We start from the raw sequence: 22,462 nt of genomic DNA on the forward strand, positions 1-22,462 counted from the left end.
CCTGCTTCCAACCTTGCACGGCCTTCTAGAGTTCAAATCTTTCCTGGGGGGGCCTCAGAGCCCTGTCCATACCTCCGCTCACAGCCCCAGCCCTTCCTCTTCTCCCATCTGGTTTCCTGGCCAGGTTTCGGCCCTGCGGAGAACCCTCCAAGGGAGCAGTGGAAAAAGCTTCACTTGGCAGTAAAGCCCCTACTTGCTGTTCCATCCCTGCAGCTGGGGTGAAATAAGCCACTGACCAGTAAACAACTGAGGCTTAAACCAGCATGCCAGCTCAGGTGGGGAGCCCCCAGCACTGGTTATATTCCCTAGATTCCTCACTGGATAGGAAAGTTGGGCCTCAGGCACTCTTCCCTCCTCTGCAGTCAAACAGTGCAGATGAAGAGCCAGGCTCTGTTCCCAGTGCTTTATGTGCTAACTTGGTTGATAATGTTATCCATTCTCATTTTGTAGATGAGGAAACAGGCACAGGGTGGTCAAGGGACTTGTTCAAATCACTGATCCCATAAGGGTGAGAGCCAAGATCCAGGCATCCTGGCTGGGTGCGGTGGCTCCACCTGTAGTCCCAGTGCTTTGGGAAGCTAAGGCTGGATGACTACTTAAGACCAGGATTTTGAGACCAGCCTGGACAACAAAGACCTTATGCCTACAAAAAATTAAAAATTAGCTAGGTGTGGCAGTACGTATCTACAGTCCCAGCTACTCGGGAGGCTGAGATGGGAGGATCCCTTGAGCTGAGGAGTTCAAGGCTACAGTGAGCTGTGATCACTGCACTCCAGCCTGGGCAACAAAGTAAGACCTTATCTCAAAAAAAAAAAAAAAAAAAGGCCGGGCGTGGTGGCTCACGCCTGTAATCCTAGCACTTTGGGAGGCCGAGGCGGGTGGATCACAAGGTCAAGAGATCAAGACCATCCTGGTCAACATGGTGAAACCCCGTCTCTACTAAAAAAAAAATACAAAAAGTTAGCTGGGCATGGTGGCAGGCGCTTGTAGTCCCAGCTACTTGGGAGGCTGAGGCAGGAGAATCATTTGAACTGGGGAGGCGGAGGTTGCGGTGAGCCGAGATTGCGCCACTGCACTCCAGCCTGGCGACAGAGTGAGAGTCCATCTCAAAAAAAAAAAAAAAAAAATCCAGATCTAGGCATTCCCAGCCCTCTGGACTCTAGGAAGTCGTCTTTCCAGAACAGAGCCCCGTATTGTGGAGCAACTGGGGGGTGGAATCAAAGGTGAGCAGGACAGGGCTATAGGAAGAAAAGACAAGGTCCCCATAAGAGTGGCGAGAGGAACAGAGCCAGGACATCGGAAAGCAAGCCCCTGTGTTCCCAAACCGCAGAAGAGGGAGCTCTGATGTTAGACAAGCCACCCTCCTACAAGCGAAGGGAAAGTAACTTTGAGCAAAAATGAGCAACAGAAAATGAGATCAAGGTCAGATCTCATACAAAGTTGCAAGATGAAAGAATGAGCAGCAGAATAACCTCCCTGTGATGTGGAAAGTGTGCCAGGAAAACAGACCCAAACTGTAACCTCTTTCAGAATGAGGCAAGGCAGTGAGGAAACTATGTGAAAACACGAAAGCAGCCGATCAGAGTTGTAAGCCCGGGCAGTCTGGGTTGGAATGGGTGCCCCGAGCCACGGGACCATGATGCCTCTCTAGAAAGACAGGACCAGGCATTCCACCAGGGTTCTAGTCCCAACAGCACCACTAACTTGCTTGTGGCCCTAAAGGATTCATTGTCCCTCTCTGGGTCTCAACTATTTAGAGCTCTACTGTCCAGTATGGGATCAACCAGCCATATTTGGCAATTTAAATTAAAATTAGCTGGGTACGGTAGCGTACCCCTGTAATCTCAGCACTTTAGGAGGCTGAAGCGGGAGGATTGCTTGAGCCCAGGAGTTCGAGACCAGCCTAGGCAACATAGCAGGACCTTGTCTCTGCAAAAAAAATGAAAAAATTAGCTAGGCGTGGTGGCACATGCCTGTAATCCCAGCTACTCGGGAGGCTGAGGTGGGAGGATCACTTGAGCCTGGAGGTTGAGGCTGCAGTGAGTCATGATTGTGCCACTGCATTCCTGCCTGGGCAACAGAACAAGACCTTGTCTCAAAAAATAATTTAAAAATTTAGTTCCTCAGATGCATTAGCCACATTTTATTTTATTTTTTTCCAAGACAGAGTCTTGCTCTGTCGCCCAGGGCTGTAGTGCAATGGCGAGATCTTGGCTCACTGCAACCTCTGCCTCCCAGGTTCAGGCAATTCTCCTGCCTCAGCCTCCCAAATAGCTGGGATTACAGGCACGTGCCACCATGCCCAGCTAATTTTTGTATTTTTAGTAGAGACAGGGTTTCTGCATGTTGGCCAGGCTGGTCTCAAACTCCTGACCTTGTGATCTGCCGACCTCAGCCTCCCAAAGTGCTGAGATTACAGGTGTGAGCCAGCATGACCGGCCATTAGCCACATTTTAAGTGTTCAGGAGCCACATGTGGATGTGGCTAGTCCAAAGACAGCACAGATTTAGAATATTCTCATCATTGTAGAAAGCTCTATTGGACGCTGCTGAGTAAAAGGGTTTTTTTGGTTTGGTTTTGAGATTGGAGTCTCGCTCTGTTGCCCAGGCTGGAGTGCAATGGCACGATCTCTGCTCACTGCAACCTCTGCCTCCCAGGTTCGAGCAATCCTCCTGTCTCAGCCCCCCTAGTAGCTGGGATTATAGGTACCCGCCACCACAACTGGCTAATTTTTGTATTTTTAGTAGAGACGGGGTTTCGCCATGTTGGCCAGGCTGGTCTCGAACTCCTGACCTCAGGTGATCCACCTGCCTTGGCCTCCCAAAGTGCTGGGATTACAGGCTTGAGCCACCACGCCCGGCCAAGTTAAAGGGTTTTTAAACAAGAGCTGGGCAGTGCAATGGCATAGCTGTAAGGCAGCAGGGGGTGGTGGGGACTGTGGTAGGTGGGAAAGCTTGTGTTCCATCTAAATGGGGCAGCTGCTGCTTGACTGTAGGCTGTATTGCTGGTCTTCTAATTCTTCAAGTGAATCAGGAATTGGGATTTTGTGAAGACTCACAATTTCTAAACAAAAAGTTGAAGTTTTACAGATCGTGGGGCTCAAGTATAACTCCTCTTGGGCTGTATCCAGCCTTGATTCTGTAATCTGTGGCTCCTGCCTGTTTTTCCTCGGCCAGGCCACTCCCTTCTTCCCCTCACTTATATTTTTCACCTGGGGTTGGAGGCTGGGTAGATGGTGGAATTGATGAGGAACCACTTTTTTTTTTTTTTTTTTGAGATGGAGTCTCACTCTGCCTCTCATAATGCTGGGATTACAGGCATGAGCCACTGCACCTGTCCTGGCCAGACATTTTTGAGGCCACCACCAGACAAAAGAGGCTCCTCATCGGCCAGGTGTGATGGCTCGCCTATAATCCCAGCACTTTGGGAGGCAGAGGCAAGAGGATTGCTTGAGGCCAGGAATTCGAGACCAGCCTAGGCAACATAATGAGACCTCATCTCTCCAAAAAAAAAAATTAGCTAGACATGGTGGCATGTACCTGTAGTCTCAGCTACCCAGGAGGCTGAGGCATGGCTTTTGTGAGCTATGATTGCACCACTGCACTCCAGCCTGGGTGACAGAGTAAGACTCCGTCTCAAAAAAAAAAAAAAAAAAAAAAAAGTCTGACCTGAGTCTCTTAAGGATGAGGCTCTGGAGCACCTAGTAAACTTGGTCCCATTTGTGTGACTCAAAGGGACATGTCCAAAGTCCAAAGTGCTGGGGGCAGGGGTGGGGCTTAGGTAGGGCATGTGACATTCCTGAACAGGCCAAGCACTGGGTGAAACTACTCAGGATTCAGAAGCAGGTGGGATGGGTGGGTGGAACATGATAATCATCCCCCTTCTCCTTCCTTTCCACCCTACCCTTGCTCACAACTGCAGGAGCTGAGGATGGGAGAGAACTGGGGACGAGGGGGCCAGAGTGATTTGCAGTGTTAGTAATGCAGCTGGTTCTATGGAAGGCTCAGTTCCATCTGGGATCCCTTTATGAGCAGTGGACTAGGTCTTCACATTCAGCCCAGGATTACTAAAGCATAGGAAAGAGGCAGGGAACATAGACACAGCTCATGTAAACATTCCTTTTGTTTATGGCCGAATCCTAGCCACTGGACTACCTGAGGCATACAGATATTCTTTGGCTATGGGCTGACATTTGAATACAGCTGGGGCCTCAGGATTCTCTGAAATAAAGGGCTGCCTCCCTCTGGAGGAGCCAGGCAGCTCCTCAGAGCAGCTGCCCATTGCGTGCTGGACAAGGCCATGTCACCACCTCCATGGCTCCCCAGTTTCCCAGCTTGCTGTATCTCTCCACCGTAAGAGACTGGGAGCACCTTGATCTGAAGCTCTTTGCAGTGCCGGTGGCAGTGTAGGGGGAAGTAGTTGATGGGAGTGAGGGAAAGGAATTGGCAAGGAACCCTGGGCCTCTGTGGCTCACTGCATCAAGCAGTTCTTGGCAAAGGTAAGGTCAGGATGGGCTGTGTCGTCTTGGGTGGGGTGAAGACAGGGAGCAGTGGGCATGCAGATGCGGACAGGGAAGGGTGCAGTGGCCTGGCTGGAGGAGGTAGGGCCGTATCCCACCCAGAGTCTGTCACCAGATTCATGCCTGCCCCACCCCAGGCTCCCCAGGTTCATCCTGTGTCGTCTCCCCCACCTACCAGTCATCTTCTTGTGAGCCCTGGGCTTAGGAGTCACCATGGCAACTGAAGAGTTCATCATCCGCATCCCCCCATACCACTATATCCATGTGCTGGACCAGAACAGCAACGTGTCCCGTGTGGAGGTCGGGCCAAAGACCTACATCCGGCAGGACAATGAGAGGTGGGTGTGGGGGCTGGGCTGTGGGGGATCCTTGGGGATGTGGGGGCCTGTTTGGCTGGCATGATGGTCCTTATCCTCCTCCCTCTTCCCAAGCAGGAGTGGCCCTCGCTTGGGCGATAGAGAGGTTTCTCTCTCATTTGGTGTCCTCTTTGGTAGTGGAGACCTGGTCCCAGGTCCTCACACCTCTTCTCATCTTCCTGCAGGGTACTGTTTGCCCCCATGCGCATGGTGACCGTCCCCCCACGTCACTACTGCACAGTGGCCAACCCTGTGTCTCGGGATGCCCAGGGCTTGGTGCTGTTTGATGTCACAGGGCAAGTTCGGCTTCGCCACGCTGACCTCGAGATCCGGCTGGCCCAGGACCCCTTCCCCCTGTACCCAGGGGAGGTGCTGGAAAAGGTACCTGGTTTCCTCACTCCCTATGCCCCACCCTACCTGTCCTCCACCTGCCTTGGGCTCTATACTGCTGCCTTCTTCTTCTTTTTTTCTTTTCTTTTTTGAGGCAGAGTTTCACTCTTGTCGCCCAGGCTGGAGTGCAGTGGCATAATCTCGGCTCACTGGAAGCTCCACCTGGGTTCAAGTGATTTTCCTGCCTCAGCTTCCTCAGTAGCTGGGATTACAGGCACCCGCCACCACGCCCGGCTAATTTTTGTATTTTTAGTAGAGACAGGGTTTCACCATGTTGGCCAGTCTGATCTCAAACTCCCGACCCCAGGTGATCCACCTGCCTCGGCCTCCCAAAGTGCTGGGATTACAGGCATGAGCCACTGTTCCCGGCCTGTACCGAGTTCTAAAGGGAAAACAAACCAGGGCAGTGGGAGGGGTGGGGAGAGACACTTGCTGGCTCTCACCAAGGGTGGAATTGACTCACTGTACCTCCACTCACCTCCAGCCACCCCCATCCTCCACACATGCCCCAAACACACCTGCCTCTTTTCTGAGAACTGTTGGCCCATCTCACCTTCCCAGGCTCCAGAGCCTACCAGAAGTGCCCAGCCAGTCTGGCATTAAATGACATGTGCCAAGGTTAAGCAGTTCATTCACCCGGTGCCAGACACTGGTGGGCAGTGCCAAAGCAGCAGTGACAAGCCCAGGCCCCAGGCTGTGCCTGTTCTAGGAGAAGCCATCACAGGCCTGAACCTACAGCCAGGCTCTTGTCCCCGTTGGCCTCAGGCCTGGGCCTGAGCAGGTGGGTGTCCCACCTTCATTCCTTTACCTGTTCTTCCACCTTTACCTTCTGGCCATTTAATGGTTTTGGGTTTTTTGTTTGTTTGTTTGTTTGTTTTTAATAGAGACGGGGTTTCACCGTGTTAGCCAGGATGGTCTTGATCTCCTGACCTCATGATCCGCCCGCCTCGGCCTCCCAAAGTGCTGGGATTACAGGCATGAGCCACCGTGTCCAGCCCCATTTAATGGTTTTCTTACTGACTTTACTAACCAGTGCTGCTTGATCCTGAAAGCATAATAGCAGAACATGGGGAACTTTTAGAGACATTCATGTCCACTTAGGTGCAGACAGTTTGGGGGAAGAAGTGTGTGTGTAGAGAGAAAATGAAGAATGATTAAGACAATAACCCTTAAGGAATCCAAGTGAAAAGTATATAGGGATTCTTGTACCTTTTTTTTTTTTTTTTTTTTTTTGAGATGGAGTCTCACTCTGTTGCCCAGGCTGGAGTACAGTGGCATAATCTCGGCTAACTGGAAGCTCTGCCTCCCAGGTTCACGCAATTCTCCTGCCTCAGCCTCCCGAGTAGCTGGGACTACAGGCGCCCACCACCACACCCGGCTAACTTTTTGTGTTTTTAGTAGAGATGGGGTTTCACCGTGTTAGCCAGGGTGGTCTCGATCTCCTGACGTCATGATCCACCTGCCTTGGCCTCCCAAAGTGCTGGGATTACAGGCGTGAGCCACCGCGCCTGGCCTTTTTTTTTTTTTTTTTTTCTGGATCTCCCCCTGTTGCCTAGACGAGAGTGCAGTGGGGTGATCATAGCTCACTGCAGCCTCAACCTCCTGGGCTCAAACGATCCTTCCACCTCATTCTCCCAAAATGCTGGGATTGCAGGTGTGAGCCACCAAGCCCTGCCTAAGCTTTCATTTTAAATATGTTCAGCCGGGCACAGTGGCTCACGCCTGTAATCCCAGCACTTTGGGAGGCCAAGGTAGGCAGATCACTTGAGGTCAGGAGTTTGAGACCAGGCTGGCCAACATGGCGAAAACCCATCTCTACTAAACATACAACAATTAGCCAGGCGTGGTGGCATGCGCCTGTAATCCCAGCTACTTGGGAGGCTGAGGCATGAGAATTACTTGAACCTGGGAGGCGGAGATTGCAGTGAGCTGAGATTGCGCCACTGCGCTCCAGCCTGGGTGACAGAGCAAGACTCTGTCTCAAAAAAAAAAAAAAAAATTAGCTGGGGGTGGTGACACACCTGTAATCCCAGCCACTCAGGAGGCTGAGACAGAAGGATCACATGAGCCTGGGAGATTGAGACTGTTGTGAGCCATGGTTGTACCACTGCAGTCCAGCCTGGATGACATAGGAAGACCCCATCTCCAAAAATAAAAAAAAGCCAGCTCTTCCTTTGAGCCCCAGTTTCAGTTCAAAGGGCCTTCTCTAACTTCTCCTTCATCTGAACTCCTGAGACAGGGTCTTGCTCTGCTGCCCAGGCTGAAGTGCAGTGGTGCAGTCATAGCTCACTGAAGCCTTAACCTCCTGGGCTCAAGTGATCCTCCCACCTCAGCCTCCCGAGTAGCTGGGACTACAGGTGTGCGCCGCCACCATGCCTGGCTACACTTTTTTTTTTTTTTTTTTTTTTTAGAGATGGGATCTTGCTATGTTGCCCAGGCTGGTTCTTGAATGTCTGAGGTCAAGCAATCCTCCTACCTCAGTCTCCCAAAGTTCTGGGATGACAGGTGTGAGCCACTGTGCCCGGCCTCCACCCCAGTCTTATTTCAGGACATACAGAGATGGATGTTGTGGACCCGCCTCCAGAGCATCAGGCTTGGCCCTGGGGTCACAGCACTGATGGTTCTGTGTCTCCACCTTCTTCCCCACTAGGACATCACACCCCTGCAGGTGGTTCTGCCCAACACTGCCCTCCATCTAAAGGCGCTGCTTGATTTTGAGGATAAAGATGGAGACAAGGTGGTGGCAGGAGATGAGTGGCTTTTCGAGGGACCTGGTAAGTTCTGTCTCCATAGGGCTCCCTGCCTTCCTGTCATAGCCCTGATACCTTCTGACCATCACCTTCCCTCCCCAGGCACGTACATCCCCCGGAAGGAAGTGGAGGTCGTGGAGATCATTCAGGCCACCATCATCAGGCAGAACCAGGCTCTGCGGCTCAGGGCCCGCAAGGAGTGCTGGGACCGGGACGGCAAGGAGAGGGTGACAGGTGGGGTCACCAAGGGGCGATGATGGTGGGTGGGCAGGAGGGGTCCCCACTGCAGGGGAAGCAGGGGAAGGTTGAGGAAAGCCTCCTGTAGCCCCAGAGAGGCGCTTTCCTGGTATCTTTTGAAAGCTGTTGAGGGCCACCCACTGCTCTTCCTTCCCCACCCCCGCTTCATGCTGTTTCCACTTGGGCTGGAAAATGTGACCATGACCATGCGGATGTGGCTTTTCCTTCCCTCACCTTCACCATGAGCTGTGGGCAGTGGCCATGACTTACCTGATTCTGGATCAACAAAGAAGATGTTCAAATACAATTGACAAATGTAGGCCAATAGGTACAGTGGCTCACACCTGTCATCCCAGCACTTTGCCAAGGTGGGTGAATCGTCTGAGCCCAGGAGCTTAAGACCAGCCTGAGCAACACAGTGAGACCCCATCTCTACAGAGAATTTAAAAATTAGCCTGGCCTTGGACACACACCTGTGGTCCCAGCTACTCAGAAGGCTGAAGGGGGAGAATTTCTTGAGCCCAGGATGTGGAGGCTGCAGTGAGCTGTGACTGCACCACTGCACTCCATCCTGGGCCACAGAGGTACTACCCCGAGGTGCTACCATTCCCACTTTTTTTTTTTTTTTGAGACGGAGTCTTGCTTTCTTGCTGTTGCCCAGGTTGGAGTGCAGTGGCGCGATCTCGGCTCACTGCAAGCTCCGCCTCCTGGGTTCACACCATTCTCCTGCCTCAGCCTCCTGAGTAGCTGGGACTACAGGCGCCCACCACCATGCCCAGCTAATTTTTTTTTTTTTTGTATTTTTTTTTTTTTTTTTTTTAGTAGAGACAGGGTTTCACCATGTTAGCCAGGGTGGTCTTGATCTCCTGACCTCGTGATCCACCAGGTTCGGCCTCCCAAAGTGCTGGGATTACAGGCGTGAACCACCGCACCCGGCCATTCCCACTTTCTATATATCAAAACTGGGATGCAGAATGCAGGTTGCTTGCCCTGGGGTGTGGCCAGGCAGGGCGAGGCTGGGACCTGCATCCAGGCACTCTGGCTTCTCCAGTAAACCAAAGGACATCCACAACTCTAACAGAGGCAGTTCTGCTGCCTGTTTTAGCAGAAGGACAAAAGTTGGTCTTTGGAGCTTAGAGAAGGCAGAACAGGCTGTTGGCATAGCAGCAACTTGGGCATCTTAGGAGGCCAAGGTGGGCGGATCACTTGAGGCCAGGAGTTCCAGACTAGCTTGGGCAACATGGTGAAACACCATCTCTACAAAAAATACAAATATTAGCCGGGCGTGGTGGCACGTGCCTGTAATCCCAGCTACTCAGGAGGCTGAGGCATGAGAATCACTTGAATCCAGGAGGCTGAGGTTGCAGTGAGCTGAGATCACAGCCTGGGCAACAGAGGGAGACTCCGTCTCAAAAAAAAAAAAAAAAAAAAAAAAACTTTTAAAATTCAACTGGGGTGGGGGTTTGGCCTCAAAAGAATGAATAAGAGGACCGCAGTCAGGAACTTGAGCCTGGGGTCAGTGCTATCTTTTTGCCTATGAAATCTGTCAATCCCCTGTGTCTAAGCTGTGGGGGAGGGGTAGGTGGGGAGCAGGCTGGGGGGCCCTTGTCCCTTACCCTCCACTCTTGGCCCAGGGGAAGAATGGCTGGTCACCACAGTAGGGGCGTACCTCCCAGCGGTGTTTGAGGAGGTTCTGGATTTGGTGGACGCCGTCATCCTTACGGAAAAGGTTGGTGCTCTGGGGGCTGTGGTTTAAGGGACCTGGGGCTAGGGAACCCTCCGAGTGGCAGAGAATGGTGGTAGAATGGCATGAGAGTAAAAGAGAAGCAATAATTTTAGGGTCACTTAAAAAAATTCAGAGATCAGATTGCCTGAGTATTCTGGATCATCTGAAGGGTTAAATAGTCTTTCTGGGGCTGGGCGCAATGACTCACATCTGTAATCTCAGCAATTTGGAAGGCTGAGGCAGGAGGATCACTTGAGGCCAGGAGTCTGAGACCAGCCTGGGCAACACAGTGAGAACTCATCGCTACAAAAAATTTAAAAATTAGCTGGGTGTAGTGGAGCATGCCTGTAATTCCAGTTACTCCAGAGGCGCTGAGGCAGGAGAATCGCTTGAACCCCAGAGGCAGAGGTTACAGTGAGCCATGATCATGCCACTGTGCTCCAGCCTGGGCAACAGAGCGAAACCCTGTCTCAAAAAAAAAAAAAAAAAACAAAGCCGGTCGGGTGCAGTGGCTCATGCCTGTAATCCTAGCATTTTGGGAGGCTGAGGTGGGAGGATCACCTGAGGTCAGGAGTTCAAGACAAACCTGGCCAACATGGCGAAACCCCATCTCTACTAAAAATACAAAAATTAGCTGGGCATGGTGTCACCCACCTGTAATCCCAGCTGTACTCAGGAGGCTGAGGCAGGAGAATCGCTTGAACCTAGGAGGCGGAAGTTGCAGTGAGCTGAGATCGCACCTTTGCACTCTAGCCTGGGCAACAAGAGAGAGACTCCGATTTAAAAAAAAAAAAAAACAATCCCTGGATTGGTAGAAATTGTCTCTGAGATCTGGGAGCATTGGGAGCATTTGGTGGCCAATGGGGCTCGCAGATCCCCTGAAGTTGGAGGCAGGTCACTCAAATACCCAACATGTTGCTCTGCAGACAGCCCTGCACCTCCGGGCTCGGCGGAACTTCCGGGACTTCAGGGGAGTGTCCCGCCGCACTGGGGAGGAGTGGCTGGTAACAGTGCAGGACACAGAGGCCCACGTGCCAGATGTCCACGAGGAGGTGCTGGGGGTTGTGCCCATCACCACCCTGGGCCCCCACAACTACTGCGTGATTCTCGACCCTGTCGGACCGGATGGCAAGAATCAGCTGGGGCAGAAGCGCGTGGTCAAGGTGAGGTCCCTACACCCCCACAGAGGACTGCCCTGGGAGATGTATGTCCTCTAGTGGCATGAGGCCCTCTGCCTTCTCTCCTCCAGACGCACGTTCTAGGAACACCTTCTGTGCCTTTGCATGCTTAGTTCTTACACACCTGAGACACTGGCCCATTTGATTCCTGGCAGCCTCTGACTTACCCCTCAGACCTGAAGTTAATTCCCCTTCTGGGAAGGCCTCCTGGCTACCCGCTGCCTGAGACTCTGAAACTCTGATACAGTCATGCGCCACTTAATGATGGGGATACATTCTGAGAAATAGTCCTTAGATGATTTTGTCTTTGTGCAAAAGAGTGCACTTATGCAAACCTAGATGGCACCTAGTCTAGATGGCGTAGCCTGCCCCTAGGCTGCCAACCTGTGCAGCATGTGACTGTCCTGAATACTGCAGGCAGCTGAACACAATGGCAAGTACTTGTGTATCTAGCCATAGAAAAGGTAAGGTAAAAATACAATATAAAAGCTTCGTTATAGGCCAGCACAGTGGCTCATACGTGTAATCCCAGCACTTTGGGAGGCCGAGGCAGGTGGATCACTTGAGGTCAGGAGTTCGAGACTAGCCTGGCCAACGTGGGGAAACCCTGTCTCTACTAAAAATACAAAAATTAGCCAGGTGTGGTGGCACACACCTGTAATTCCAGTTACTCGGGAGGCTGAGGCACGAGAATCACTTGAACCCTGGAGATCAAGCCTGTGGTGAGCCGAGATCGTGCCACTGCACTCTAGCCTGGGCGATAGAGTGAGACTCTCAGAAAAAAAAAAAATCTCCATTATAATCTTACGGGACCACCATGTGCAGTCTGTAATGGACTGAACTATCATGCAGTGACTATATTTCACATCTTTAATATCCTGGTGTTCACTTTGCTTTGTCATCTTTTGTAAAATAAACCTCTTGGTTTACCCTCTCCCACCCCCTACTTCATCCCCTCTCTGAACTATATGTGGGAATACCAGCAGTTGCCAAACTCATTCTGTAAAGGGGGCTGGATGGTAGATACTCCAGGCTCCGTGAGTCATTGTTTCTGTGGAAGTTCTTCAACTCTGCTGTTATGTCAGGAAAGCAGCTTGGGCACTACGTAAACAAGTGAGTACTGCCATGCTCCTGGAATAGTTTATCTGCAAAAACAGGAGGCAGAAAAAGTAGAAATAGGCCAGGCATGGTGGCTTACATGTGTAATCCCAGCACTTTACGAGTCCAAAGCGGGTGGATCGCTTGAGGTCAGGAGTTAGAAACCATCCTGGCCAACATGGCAAAACCCTTTCTCTACTAAAAATACAAAAAAATTAGCTGGGCATGGTGTCAGGCACCTGTAATCCCAGCTTCTCTGGAGGCTGAGGCAGGAGAATTGCTTGAACCCGGGAGGCGGAGGTTGCAGTGAGCCGAGATCACACCACTGCACTCCAGCCTGGGTGACAGAGCAAGACTGTCTCAAAAAAAAAAAAAAATTAGAAATAACCCAAATGTACATATATAATGAATGGATAAAAAATTGTAGCATATCCATACAATGGAATATCATTCAGCCATAAGAAAGAAATGGCAGGCCAGGCGCAACAGCTCATGACTATAATCCCAGTGCTTTGGGAGGCCGAGGCAGGAGGATTGCTTGAAGCCAGGAGTTTGAGACCAGCCTGGGTAACATAGTGAGACCCCATTTTTACAAAAACTTTTAAAAATTGACCAGGCATGGTGGCACACCTGTAGTCCCAGCTATTTGGGAGGCTAAAGTGGGAAAATCGCTTGACCCCAGGAAGTGGAGTGTATAGTGAGCTATGATTGTGCCACTGTACTCCAGCCTGAGGCAGTAGAGTGAGATCCTGTCTCTAGGAAAAACAAAAAATAATGACATACGTGCTACAACATGGATAAAATTGAAAATGTTATGCTAAGTGAAAGAAGCCAGCTGGACGCAGTGGCTCACGCCTGTAATCCTAACACTTTAGGAGGCTGAGGTGGGCACATCACCTGAGGTCAGGAGTTCAAGACCAGCCTGGCCAACATGGTGAAGCCCCGTCTCTGTTAAAATACAAAAATTAGCTAGCATGATGGCGGGTGCCTGTAATCCCAGCTACTGCTCGGGAGGCTGAGACAGGAGAATCTCTTGAACCTGGAAGACAGTAGTTGCAGTGAGCCGAGATCCCACCACTGCACTCCAGCCTGGGCTGCTGAGCCGAGACTCCATCTCAAAAAAAGAAAAAGAAAAAAGCCAGACATCAAAGACCACATATTGCATGATTCCATTTATGTGAAATGTCCAGAATAGGTAAACACATAAAGAAAATAGACTAGTGGTGGGTGGGGTAGGTGGGGAGTGGCAGTAACTTCTAGGTACAGGATTTCTTTTCAGGGTGATGACGAAAATACTCTAGACTTAACATAGCAGTGATGGTTGGACAACTTTGAGTATACTAAAACAACTGAATTGTGAATTGTATACTCTAGATGGGAAAATTTCATATGTGGATTATATCTCAAAATTTTTTTAAGAAACAGGCGGTGCTGGGCGTGGTGGCTCACATCTATAATCCCAGCACTTTGGAAAGCTGAGGTGGGTAGATCGCTTGAGTCTAGGACTTTGAGACCAGCTTAGGCAGCATGGCAACACCCCATCATCTACGAAGCACACAAAAATTAGCTGGGTGTGGTGATGCGCATCTGTAGTCCCAGCTCCTTGGGAGGCTGAGGTGGGAGGATTGCTTGAGCCTGGAAGGTTGAGGCTGCAGAGAGCTGAGATCATGCCACTGCACTATCCAGCCTGGGCAAGAGAGGAAGACTATCTCAAAAAAAAAAAAAAAAAAAAAAAAAGGCAGAATCCAGATTTGGCCTGAAAACCAGAGTTTGTCAAGCCCTAGGTTACACCATCTCTAGAAAACAAAGCCTGGGAGAAAGAAGAAAAAACAGGTTGATTTTTAATGGTTTAGCTTGCGTGGATCCAGGTCCTGACAGTTATGGAATCTTTCAAGGACACATTTGACCAGATGAGATTTGGCAGGCGTTTGTGTAGAGCCTCACAGTCCAGACAGTGCCTCACCGTATTATGATGTGGGGGTGGGGGCGGGCTTCTGGTGCTCTTGTCCTCCACACAGGCCTGAAACAGCACAGGACTGGGGAGGTACCATTGGAAGCACCCGCAACCCTAAAGGCACTGACCCTAACCTCACGTCTCCCCACTAGGGAGAGAAGTCTTTTTTCCTCCAGCCAGGAGAGCAGCTGGAACAAGGCATCCAGGATGTGTATGTGCTGTCGGAGCAGCAGGGGCTGCTGCTGAGGGCCCTGCAGCCCCTGGAGGAGGGGGAGGATGAGGAGAAGGTCTCACACCAGGCTGGGGACCACTGGCTCATCCGCGGACCCCTGGAGTATGTGCCATCTGCCAAAGTGGAGGTGGTGGAGGAGCGCCAGGCCATCCCTCTAGACGAGAACGAGGGCATCTATGTGCAGGATGTCAAGACCGGAAAGGTAATGGCTGGGAGTGAGCAGCAGTGCTGCCACGTGGCCTTGGCCTTGGTGGCGGCTTCCTCTGGGTGTGTGGAAGAGGTGGGCAGGGACTTCAGCAGCATGGAGAGCCATATCAGGTGGGCTGTCTGGTTGGGGGAGGGCACTACGTGGAGTGTTTGCCATCCTTCTGCCTTAAATGTCTCATTTGAAATGTTAGAACCAACCAGGTGCGGTAGCTCACATCTGTAATCTCAGCACTTTGGGAGGCCGAGGCGGGCGGATCACCTGAGGTCAGGAGTTCAAGACTAGCCTGGCCAACATGGGAAACCCTGTCTCTACTAAAAGTACAAACATTAGTCAGGCGTGGTGGTGGTCTGAGTAGTCCCAGATACTTGGGAGGCTGAGACAGGAGAATTGCTTGAACTGGGAAGCGGAGGTTGCAGTGAGCCGAGATCACACCACTGCACTTCAGCCAGGGTGACAGAGTGAGACTCTGTCAAAAAAAAATATTAGCATGTCCACTGAGAGGACAAGTGGGGGTTTAGGACAGGGACCCTTTCCCACAGCAGACCTGGTTTCCAGCATAAAGGTCTGATGGGGTGGCCAGGGAACAGGAAGGACCTCCTCCCTCATGCCCATATCCCGGTGGAATCTTTCATTTTTTTCTGCTTCACCTAAAACCTTGACCTTGATTTGACCTCGGGCCACATCTCCAACCTTCTCTAAGAATCCAAGCTGGAAGTCCAGCTTGGAATCCGAGGGAGCATCCGTGTACACAGCCTACTTCACCATCCCCGAGGTGCCCTCCAAACTGCCCCATGAAGGAAGATTCTAGAAATAACATTGAGCACCTTCTCTATGCCAAGAGCTGTTTGAGCTAGACATGTGAAGATGTCATTCACCCCTAGACCCTGCAAGGTAGCCACCGTCAAGTCCACTTGACACATGAGGAAACTGAAGCCCAAGGGGTGAGGTAGTTAGCCCACGATGACAGGGCCAGCAGATGGCAAACCCGGGGTGGAGCCTGGCCTCCCCGTAGAGAAGGTGTTTAACCTCGTGGCGCGCCTTCCCTGGATGGGCTCTGCTTTGGGACAGCTGGGCGGATCTTCCTCCCTTCCACCCTTACGGGCAGCTTCCCTCCCTGTCCTCGTCCCAAGGTGCGCGCTGTGATTGGAAGCACCTACATGCTGACCCAGGACGAAGTCCTGTGGGAGAAAGAGCTGCCTCCCGGGGTGGAGGAGCTGCTGAACAAGGGGCAGGACCCTCTGGCAGACAGGGGTGAGAAGGACACAGCTAAGAGCCTCCAGCCCTTGGCGCCCCGGAACAAGACCCGTGTGGTCAGCTACCGCGTGCCCCACAACGCTGCGGTGCAGGTGTACGACTACCGAGAGAAGCGAGCCCGGTGAGTGCTGGCAGCGCAGGGTGTAGGGGGTGGCTCTCCATGGGTCTGGCTCTGACCCTCGGCTGTCTCTGCAGCGTGGTCTTCGGGCCTGAGCTGGTGTCGCTGGGTCCTGAGGAGCAGTTCACAGTGTTGTCCCTCTCAGCTGGGCGGCCCAAGCGTCCCCATGCCCGCCGTGCGCTCTGCCTGCTGCTGGGGCCTGACTTCTTCACAGACGTCATCACCATCGAAACGGCGGATCATGCCAGGCTGCAACTGCAGCTGGCCTACAACTGGTAAAAATGGGGACAGGGCATGGGGGTGCATTCCTGGAATCCCAGCACTTTGGGAGGCTGAGGTGGGAGGATCACTTGAGCCTAGGAGGTCCAGGCTGCAGTGAGCCTTGATGGCCCCACTATACTCCAGCCTGGGTGACAGAGCAAGACCCTGTTTCTTTGTTTTTTGTTTTTTTAGTTTTTTGGTTTTTTGGTTTTTTGGTTTTTTTTGAGACCGAGTTTCACTCTTGTTGCCCAGGCTGGAGTGCAATGGCGCGATCTTGGCTCACTGCAACCCCCACCTCCCGGATTCAAGCGAGTCTCCTGCCTCAACCTCCCAAGTGGCTAGGATTACAGGCATGTGCCACCATGCCCAGCTAGTTTTGTATTTTTAGTAGAGATGGGGTTTCTCCATGTTGGTCAGGCTGGTCTCGAACTCCTGACCTCAGGTGATCCGCCTGCCTCGGCTTCCCAAAGTGCTGGGATTACAGGCATGAGCCACTGCACCCGGTCAACCCTGTTTCAAAACAAAAAAAACAAACCGGGTGGCAAGCAGTGGGTGAGGGTTCCTGCTGGGTGCAGCCTAGGAACCCCAAGAAAAGGAGGGTCCTGCTCAAGTGCTGGTGCTGGGCTCCTCATGAAGGCAGGACACCTCATTCAGTGCTGAGGTCAAGAGGGAACCTAGGAGTTCACGCAAATCCAGGGAAGGCGTGGGCTCACCTCCTGGGGTCAGGACTCAGGGATCCAGTAGCAGGACACTACCCCAACTAAGCTCCCAGTGAGCGTGCAGCCAAATGCGTAACTGTCGGGCTGTTAAAAGATGCATGGGACACAGCTGGCGGGAGTGGGCAGTGCAAGGGGGCGGTGAGAACTCAAGTTCAGAAACTGACTGCCCTGGCCTGCGCCCCCGCCCTGCTGTTTGCAGCCTGTGGACCTGGGGAAGGGACAGGGTGCTTTCCTCAGTTTCCCCATCTGTAACATGAGGAAGACAGCATTTTCTCCTTCACAAGGCCATTGAAAAGATGCAATGAGTGTTAGAACAGTGCCTCTATTGGTCAGAGCTCAATAGCAGCTATTAGGATTGGGTGAGATAAGTCATGTACAGAAACAGTGTTCATGACTGGGTACTGTGGCTCACACCTGTGATCCCAGCACTTTGGGAGGCTGTGGCAGGAGGATTGCTTGAGGCCAGGAGTTTGAGACCAGGCTGGGCAACATAACAAGACTCTGTTTCAAAAAAAAAAAATTTATAAACTAGCTGGGCATGGTGGTACATGTCTATAGACCCAACTACTTGGAAGGCTGAGGTGGGAAAATTGCCTGAGCCCAGGAATTTGAGGCTGCAGCAAGCTATGATTGTGCCACCACACTCCAGCCTGGACAACAGAGACCCACAGAGACCCTGTCTCGGAGGAAGGGAGGAAGGGAGGAAGGGAGGAAGGGAGGAAGGGAGGAAGGGAGGGAGGGAGGGAGGGAGGGAGGGAGGGAGGAAGGGAGGAAGGGAGGGAGGGAGGGTCAGGCGTGGTGGCTCATGCCTGTAATCACAGCACTTTGGGAGACTGAGGCAGGCAGATCACTTGAGGTCAGGAGTTTGAGACCAGCCTGGCCAACATGGTGAATCCCTGTCTCTACTAAAAATACAAAAATTAGCCAGGCCTGGTTGTGGGCACCTGTAGTCCCAGCTTGTAGTCCCAGCTACTCAAGAGGCTGAGGCAGGAGAATCTCTTGAATCCGGGAGGCGGAGGTTGCAGTGAACCCAGATCGAGCCACTGCACTCCAGCCTGGGCGACGGAGCAAGACTGTCTCCAAAAAGAATATTCAATACTCCCAAGCATGTCCCTCACCTCTTAGCTGAGAGCAGCCAGTGCCCTGATGGCGGCAGACAGCTGCCGACATATTCCCAGGGCTGCCGACATATTCCCAGGCACTACAACATCATAGTTAAGAGCACAGGCCCCAGAAGCAGCTGCCTGGTTCAGCTTTCTGGCTTGTCACATGTTATATGGCAAGTCTTGGGCCAGCCACTTGACTTCCCTGGACCTCTACTTCCTCATCTGTAAAATGGGGGTGGTGATCATTGCCATCTCATAGGGTGGCTGAGTGGGATTAAAGGAGAACGTGTGTTAAGTTTTTAGGACCTTACCAGGCATACATTAGCATTCTCTATTGCGAGAGACCCTGCCCGGCCACACAGGATGGGTGTTGAAGTTCTTCTCGGAGAGAGTTGCTGGCTGGGCGTGATCACACATGTAGTCCCAGCACTTTGGGAGGCTGAGGTTGGGGGGTTGCCTGAGCCCAGGAGTTCAAGACCAGCCTGGGCAACATGGCAAGACCTTGTCTCTTCTAAAGAGAGATTCCTGGGTGAAAGCAGCTTCCCCATTCTGGGCCTGTTTGTTCACAGGCACTTTGAGGTGAATGACCGGAAGGACCCCCAAGAGACGGCCAAGCTCTTTTCAGTGCCAGACTTTGTAGGTGATGCCTGCAAAGCCATCGCATCCCGGGTGCGGGGGGCCGTGGCCTCTGTCACTTTCGATGACTTCCATAAGAACTCAGCCCGCATCATTCGCACTGCTGTCTTTGGCTTTGAGACCTCGGAAGCGAAGGGCCCCGATGGCATGGCCCTGCCCAGGCCCCGGGACCAGGCTGTCTTCCCCCAAAACGGGCTGGTGGTCAGCAGTGTGGACGTGCAGTCAGTGGAGCCTGTGGATCAGAGGACCCGGGACGCCCTGCAACGCAGCGTCCAGCTGGCCATCGAGATCACCACCAACTCCCAGGAAGCGGCGGCCAAGTAAGTGAGGCTGGGAGCTCGGCTGCCTATAATGCCCATGGCAGGCCACTGCTGGGAACTGGATAACCTGGCATCCCTTGTGGACTGCCTGCTGCCATCCCTACCCTCAAAGATCTATTCCCTACCCAACAGATCAGGTGACCCACTTAAAATGTGAATCAGGCTGGGCGCGGTGGCTCATGCCCGTAATCCCAGCACTGTGAGAGGCTGAGGCAGGAAGATCACTTGAAGCCAGGAGTTTGAGGCTGCAGTGAGCCATGATTGCGCCACTGCACTCCAGCCTGGGCAACAGGCCTGGGAGACTGACCCTGTCTCAAAAGAAAAAAAAAAAAAAAAGCACGTATCAGATGTGGCTCCTGCAGCCTCCCATCTTGCATGTGATAAAACCTAAACTCCTTCCTGCAGCTCCAGCCGGCCTCCCCCGATTTGCCTTCTAGCCTCCCCCTTCCATGCTCCTCGTCCCTGGAACATGTTCCAGCTGACATGTTCCAGCCCCACTGGCTTCCTCTGCTCCTTCAATGCACAGCTTGGACCCACCTGAAGGCCTTTTGCAATGGCTATTCCTGCTGCCCAGAAAGCTTCCCCCCGCCCCTGAGCTCCCTTCCAGGCAGGCTTCTCCTTCTGGCTTCAGCCCAAAGATCCCCTCCTTGGGGAACACTTTTCTTTCTCTCACAGCTGAATAGCACCCTCTTTGCCTGGTCTCTCCCACACTTGTCACTGTCTGAAATCCTCCTTGTATACTTGTTCTTTTCCCACTCAAGTGGCGTGAAAGTAGGGGGCCGCAGTCACGCCTGCATTTGTCCGGCCTAGAATGACACTGGCTTGTGGCGCGTATACCATTCTGGGTTGAGTTGCGTATTGGGTGCCTTCTAGGGGCTGGGGTCTGTCCTGGGCACCGGTTTGGTTGGTGGCCGCTGCCCTTGGCGCTCCTGTTCCTGCTCTGGCCCCATGCCAGCCTCTCACCTGCGCTCCGTCTCCTCCAGGCATGAGGCTCAGAGACTGGAGCAGGAAGCCCGCGGCCGGCTTGAGCGGCAGAAGATCCTGGACCAGTCAGAAGCCGAGAAAGCTCGCAAGGAACTTTTGGAGCTGGAGGCTCTGAGGTGGGTTGAGAACTAGAGGAGGAGACTGGCAGGGGCCGAGGGTCTTAGGACAGCAGCTGGTGTGGGCAGCAGGCCTGGGTGGGGTGTCGATGAGACAGTGCACGGCTACAGCATAAGCCAAGGCCGTGGGGGGACTGGGCTGTCTCCCGGGTCTTACCTGACTCTGCCTTCTCCCCAGCATGGCCGTGGAGAGCACCGGGACTGCCAAGGCGGAGGCCGAGTCCCGTGCGGAGGCAGCCCGGATTGAGGGAGAAGGGTCCGTGCTGCAGGCCAAGCTAAAAGCACAGGCCTTGGCCATTGAAACGGTGAGTGGGGGGAGGCATTAAGAAGAGGGTGGCCTTGAGTCCTGGAAAAGGCCCATTCCCTACAGTCCCTGAGACTGTATAGGACACCAGGTCCCCCAACATAAAGCCCTATCCAAGTACTTTGCATTTGCAAAGTCCTTTGCCTTGTAGGATTCATTGACTCCATTGCTGGAAGGTAAGGATTAGAACACCCATTTTGCAGCTGGGCGCTCATGCACTGGCCACCTTGGCACAAGTGCTGTGTATGCTTCATAGGCATTATCTTATTTAATGCTTGAAATCCCATTAAGAGGCCGGGTGCAGTGGCTCACGCCTGTAATCCTAGCACTTTGGGAGGCCGAGGCGGGTGGATCACCTGAGGTCAGGAGTTCAAGACCAGCTTGGCCAACATGGTGAAACCCCATCTCTACTGAAAATACAAAAAATTAGCTGGGTATGGTGGCATGTGTCTGTAACCCCAACTACTTGGTAGGCTGAGGCAGGAGAATTGCTTGAACCCAGGAGGTGTGGAGGCTGCGGTGAGCTGAGGTTGTGCCACTACACTCCAGCCTGGGCAACAAGAGTGAAACTCCATCTCAAAAATAAAGTAAATAAAAATAAATGTAAAAAGAGGCCTAGTGTGGTGCCTCAGGTCTCTAACCCCAGCACTTTGGAAAGCTGAGATGGGAGGATCATTTGAGGTCAGTTCGAGACCAGTTCAAGACTAGCCTGGGCAACATAGCAAGACCTCATCTCTACAAAAACAAAATTTTTTAATTGACTGGGTGTGGTGGCACATGCCTGTAGTCCCAGCTACCCAGGAGGCTGAGGCAGGAGGATCCTTTGAGCCAGGAGTTCAAGGCTGCAGTGAGTCCTGATCTGCATTCCAGCCTGGGTCAAAAAATAAAGAATGATTGATTTTTCCTCTTCCAGGAGGCTGAGCTCCAGAGGGTCCAGAAGGTCCGAGAGCTGGAACTGGTCTATGCCCGGGCCCAGCTGGAGCTGGAGGTGAGCAAGGCTCAGCAGCTGGCTGAGGTGGAGGTGAAGAAGTTCAAGCAGATGACAGAGGCCATAGGCCCCAGCACCATCAGGGACCTTGCTGTGGCTGGGCCTGAGATGCAGGTGAGAGTTGGGGAAGGTGTGTTGGTTTCAGGACCAACCTTGAAACCAGGAAGGCAGAGCCAAGGCGGAAAACACAACATCTGGAAAGATTGTGGGGAAGGGAGGGGTGAGTGACCTGACCCACGATGCAGGGACATTCACACAGTGTCACGCTGCATCAACGTCAGGCACTGTACTAGACCCAGCAGTGAGCCAGAGCTCCGGAGGAGACAGGAAATGGATGGGACGCCAGTCTGACAGGCATTTCCAAGGCAGTCAAGCAGGGTGGTCAGATGCAGGGGAGGTGACCCTTCAAACCAGCTGACTTAAGGAGGGTCACTCTGAAGTGGCCAGGGTTTGACGCCCATCTCAACTTCCTCCTGTTCTCACCCTCCAGGTAAAACTGCTCCAGTCCCTGGGCCTGAAATCAACCCTCATCACCGATGGCTCCACTCCCATCAACCTCTTCAACACAGCCTTTGGGCTGCTGGGGATGGGGCCCGAGGGTCAGCCCCTGGGCAGAAGGGTGGCCAGTGGGCCCAGCCCTGGGGAGGGGATATCCCCCCAGTCTGCTCAGGCCCCTCAAGCTCCTGGAGACAACCACGTGGTGCCTGTACTGCGCTAACTCCTGATTAATACAATGGAAGTTTCTGGGCATTTACAATTTCAACACTTTTCTCTTGTCTGACATTGGTTGGGGTTACCAGGGAGCTTAATGGTGGGGAGGGGAGGTGCCCCTGGCATCTTTTTTTTTTTTTTCGAGCTGGAGTCTTGCTCTGTCACCCAGGCTGGAGTGCAGTGGTGTGATCTCTGCTCACTGTAACCTCCACCTCCCAGGTTCAAGTGATTCTCCTGCCTCAGCCTCCTGAGTAGCTGGGATTACAGGCACGTGCCACCACGCCCAGCTAATTTTTG

The 22,462-nt window shown here is 52.7% G+C and overlaps 1 protein-coding gene across 4 annotated transcripts in view, besides 3 other annotated features; it reads left to right on the forward strand.

Annotated features, from left to right (window-relative positions):
- Positions 1 to 339: part of an enhancer, noted in NCBI's record as "H3K27ac-H3K4me1 hESC enhancer chr16:29836905-29837477 (GRCh37/hg19 assembly coordinates)", that runs on past the window's edge. NCBI's record gives its function as "activates a minimal SCP1, AML or CMV promoter by ChIP-STARR-seq in primed H9 embryonic stem cells {active_cell/tissue: H9 hESC(primed)}" and the evidence as "EXISTENCE:reporter gene assay evidence [ECO:0000049][PMID:30033119]".
- The window catches only part of MVP (major vault protein), a 27,646-nt gene extending 5,424 nt beyond the window's left edge, over positions 1 to 22,222 (forward strand). Inside the window, exons 2-15 of one of the 4 annotated variants that reach the window (NM_017458.3) lie at positions 4,657 to 4,857; positions 5,061 to 5,256; positions 7,916 to 8,039; positions 8,118 to 8,249; positions 9,887 to 9,981; positions 10,905 to 11,141; positions 14,361 to 14,642; positions 15,779 to 16,023; positions 16,098 to 16,295; positions 18,676 to 19,062; positions 20,046 to 20,162; positions 20,341 to 20,467; positions 21,380 to 21,568; positions 21,945 to 22,222. In NM_017458.3, coding sequence (NP_059447.2) covers positions 4,733 to 4,857; positions 5,061 to 5,256; positions 7,916 to 8,039; positions 8,118 to 8,249; positions 9,887 to 9,981; positions 10,905 to 11,141; positions 14,361 to 14,642; positions 15,779 to 16,023; positions 16,098 to 16,295; positions 18,676 to 19,062; positions 20,046 to 20,162; positions 20,341 to 20,467; positions 21,380 to 21,568; positions 21,945 to 22,172 — 2,682 coding nt within the window. In that variant the 5' untranslated portion in view covers positions 4,657 to 4,732 and the 3' untranslated portion in view covers positions 22,173 to 22,222. Of the gene's footprint in view, positions 1 to 4,656; positions 4,858 to 5,060; positions 5,257 to 7,915; positions 8,040 to 8,117; positions 8,250 to 9,886; positions 9,982 to 10,904; positions 11,142 to 14,360; positions 14,643 to 15,778; positions 16,024 to 16,097; positions 16,296 to 18,675; positions 19,063 to 20,045; positions 20,163 to 20,340; positions 20,468 to 21,379; positions 21,569 to 21,944 lie in introns of those variants that run through there. The other 3 variants (NM_005115.5, NM_001293204.1, NM_001293205.1) reach the window with 3 other exon arrangements.
- Positions 19,837 to 20,338: an enhancer, noted in NCBI's record as "H3K4me1 hESC enhancer chr16:29856975-29857476 (GRCh37/hg19 assembly coordinates)". NCBI's record gives its function as "activates a minimal SCP1, AML or CMV promoter by ChIP-STARR-seq in primed H9 embryonic stem cells {active_cell/tissue: H9 hESC(primed)}" and the evidence as "EXISTENCE:reporter gene assay evidence [ECO:0000049][PMID:30033119]".
- Positions 20,339 to 20,838: an enhancer, noted in NCBI's record as "H3K4me1 hESC enhancer chr16:29857477-29857976 (GRCh37/hg19 assembly coordinates)". NCBI's record gives its function as "activates a minimal SCP1, AML or CMV promoter by ChIP-STARR-seq in primed H9 embryonic stem cells {active_cell/tissue: H9 hESC(primed)}" and the evidence as "EXISTENCE:reporter gene assay evidence [ECO:0000049][PMID:30033119]".
- Positions 22,223 to 22,462: the final 240 nt, after the last annotated feature.

This window comes from Homo sapiens, chromosome 16 (genome assembly GCF_000001405.40).
Source record: "Homo sapiens chromosome 16, GRCh38.p14 Primary Assembly".
Classification (NCBI taxonomy): Eukaryota; Metazoa; Chordata; class Mammalia; order Primates; family Hominidae; genus Homo; species Homo sapiens.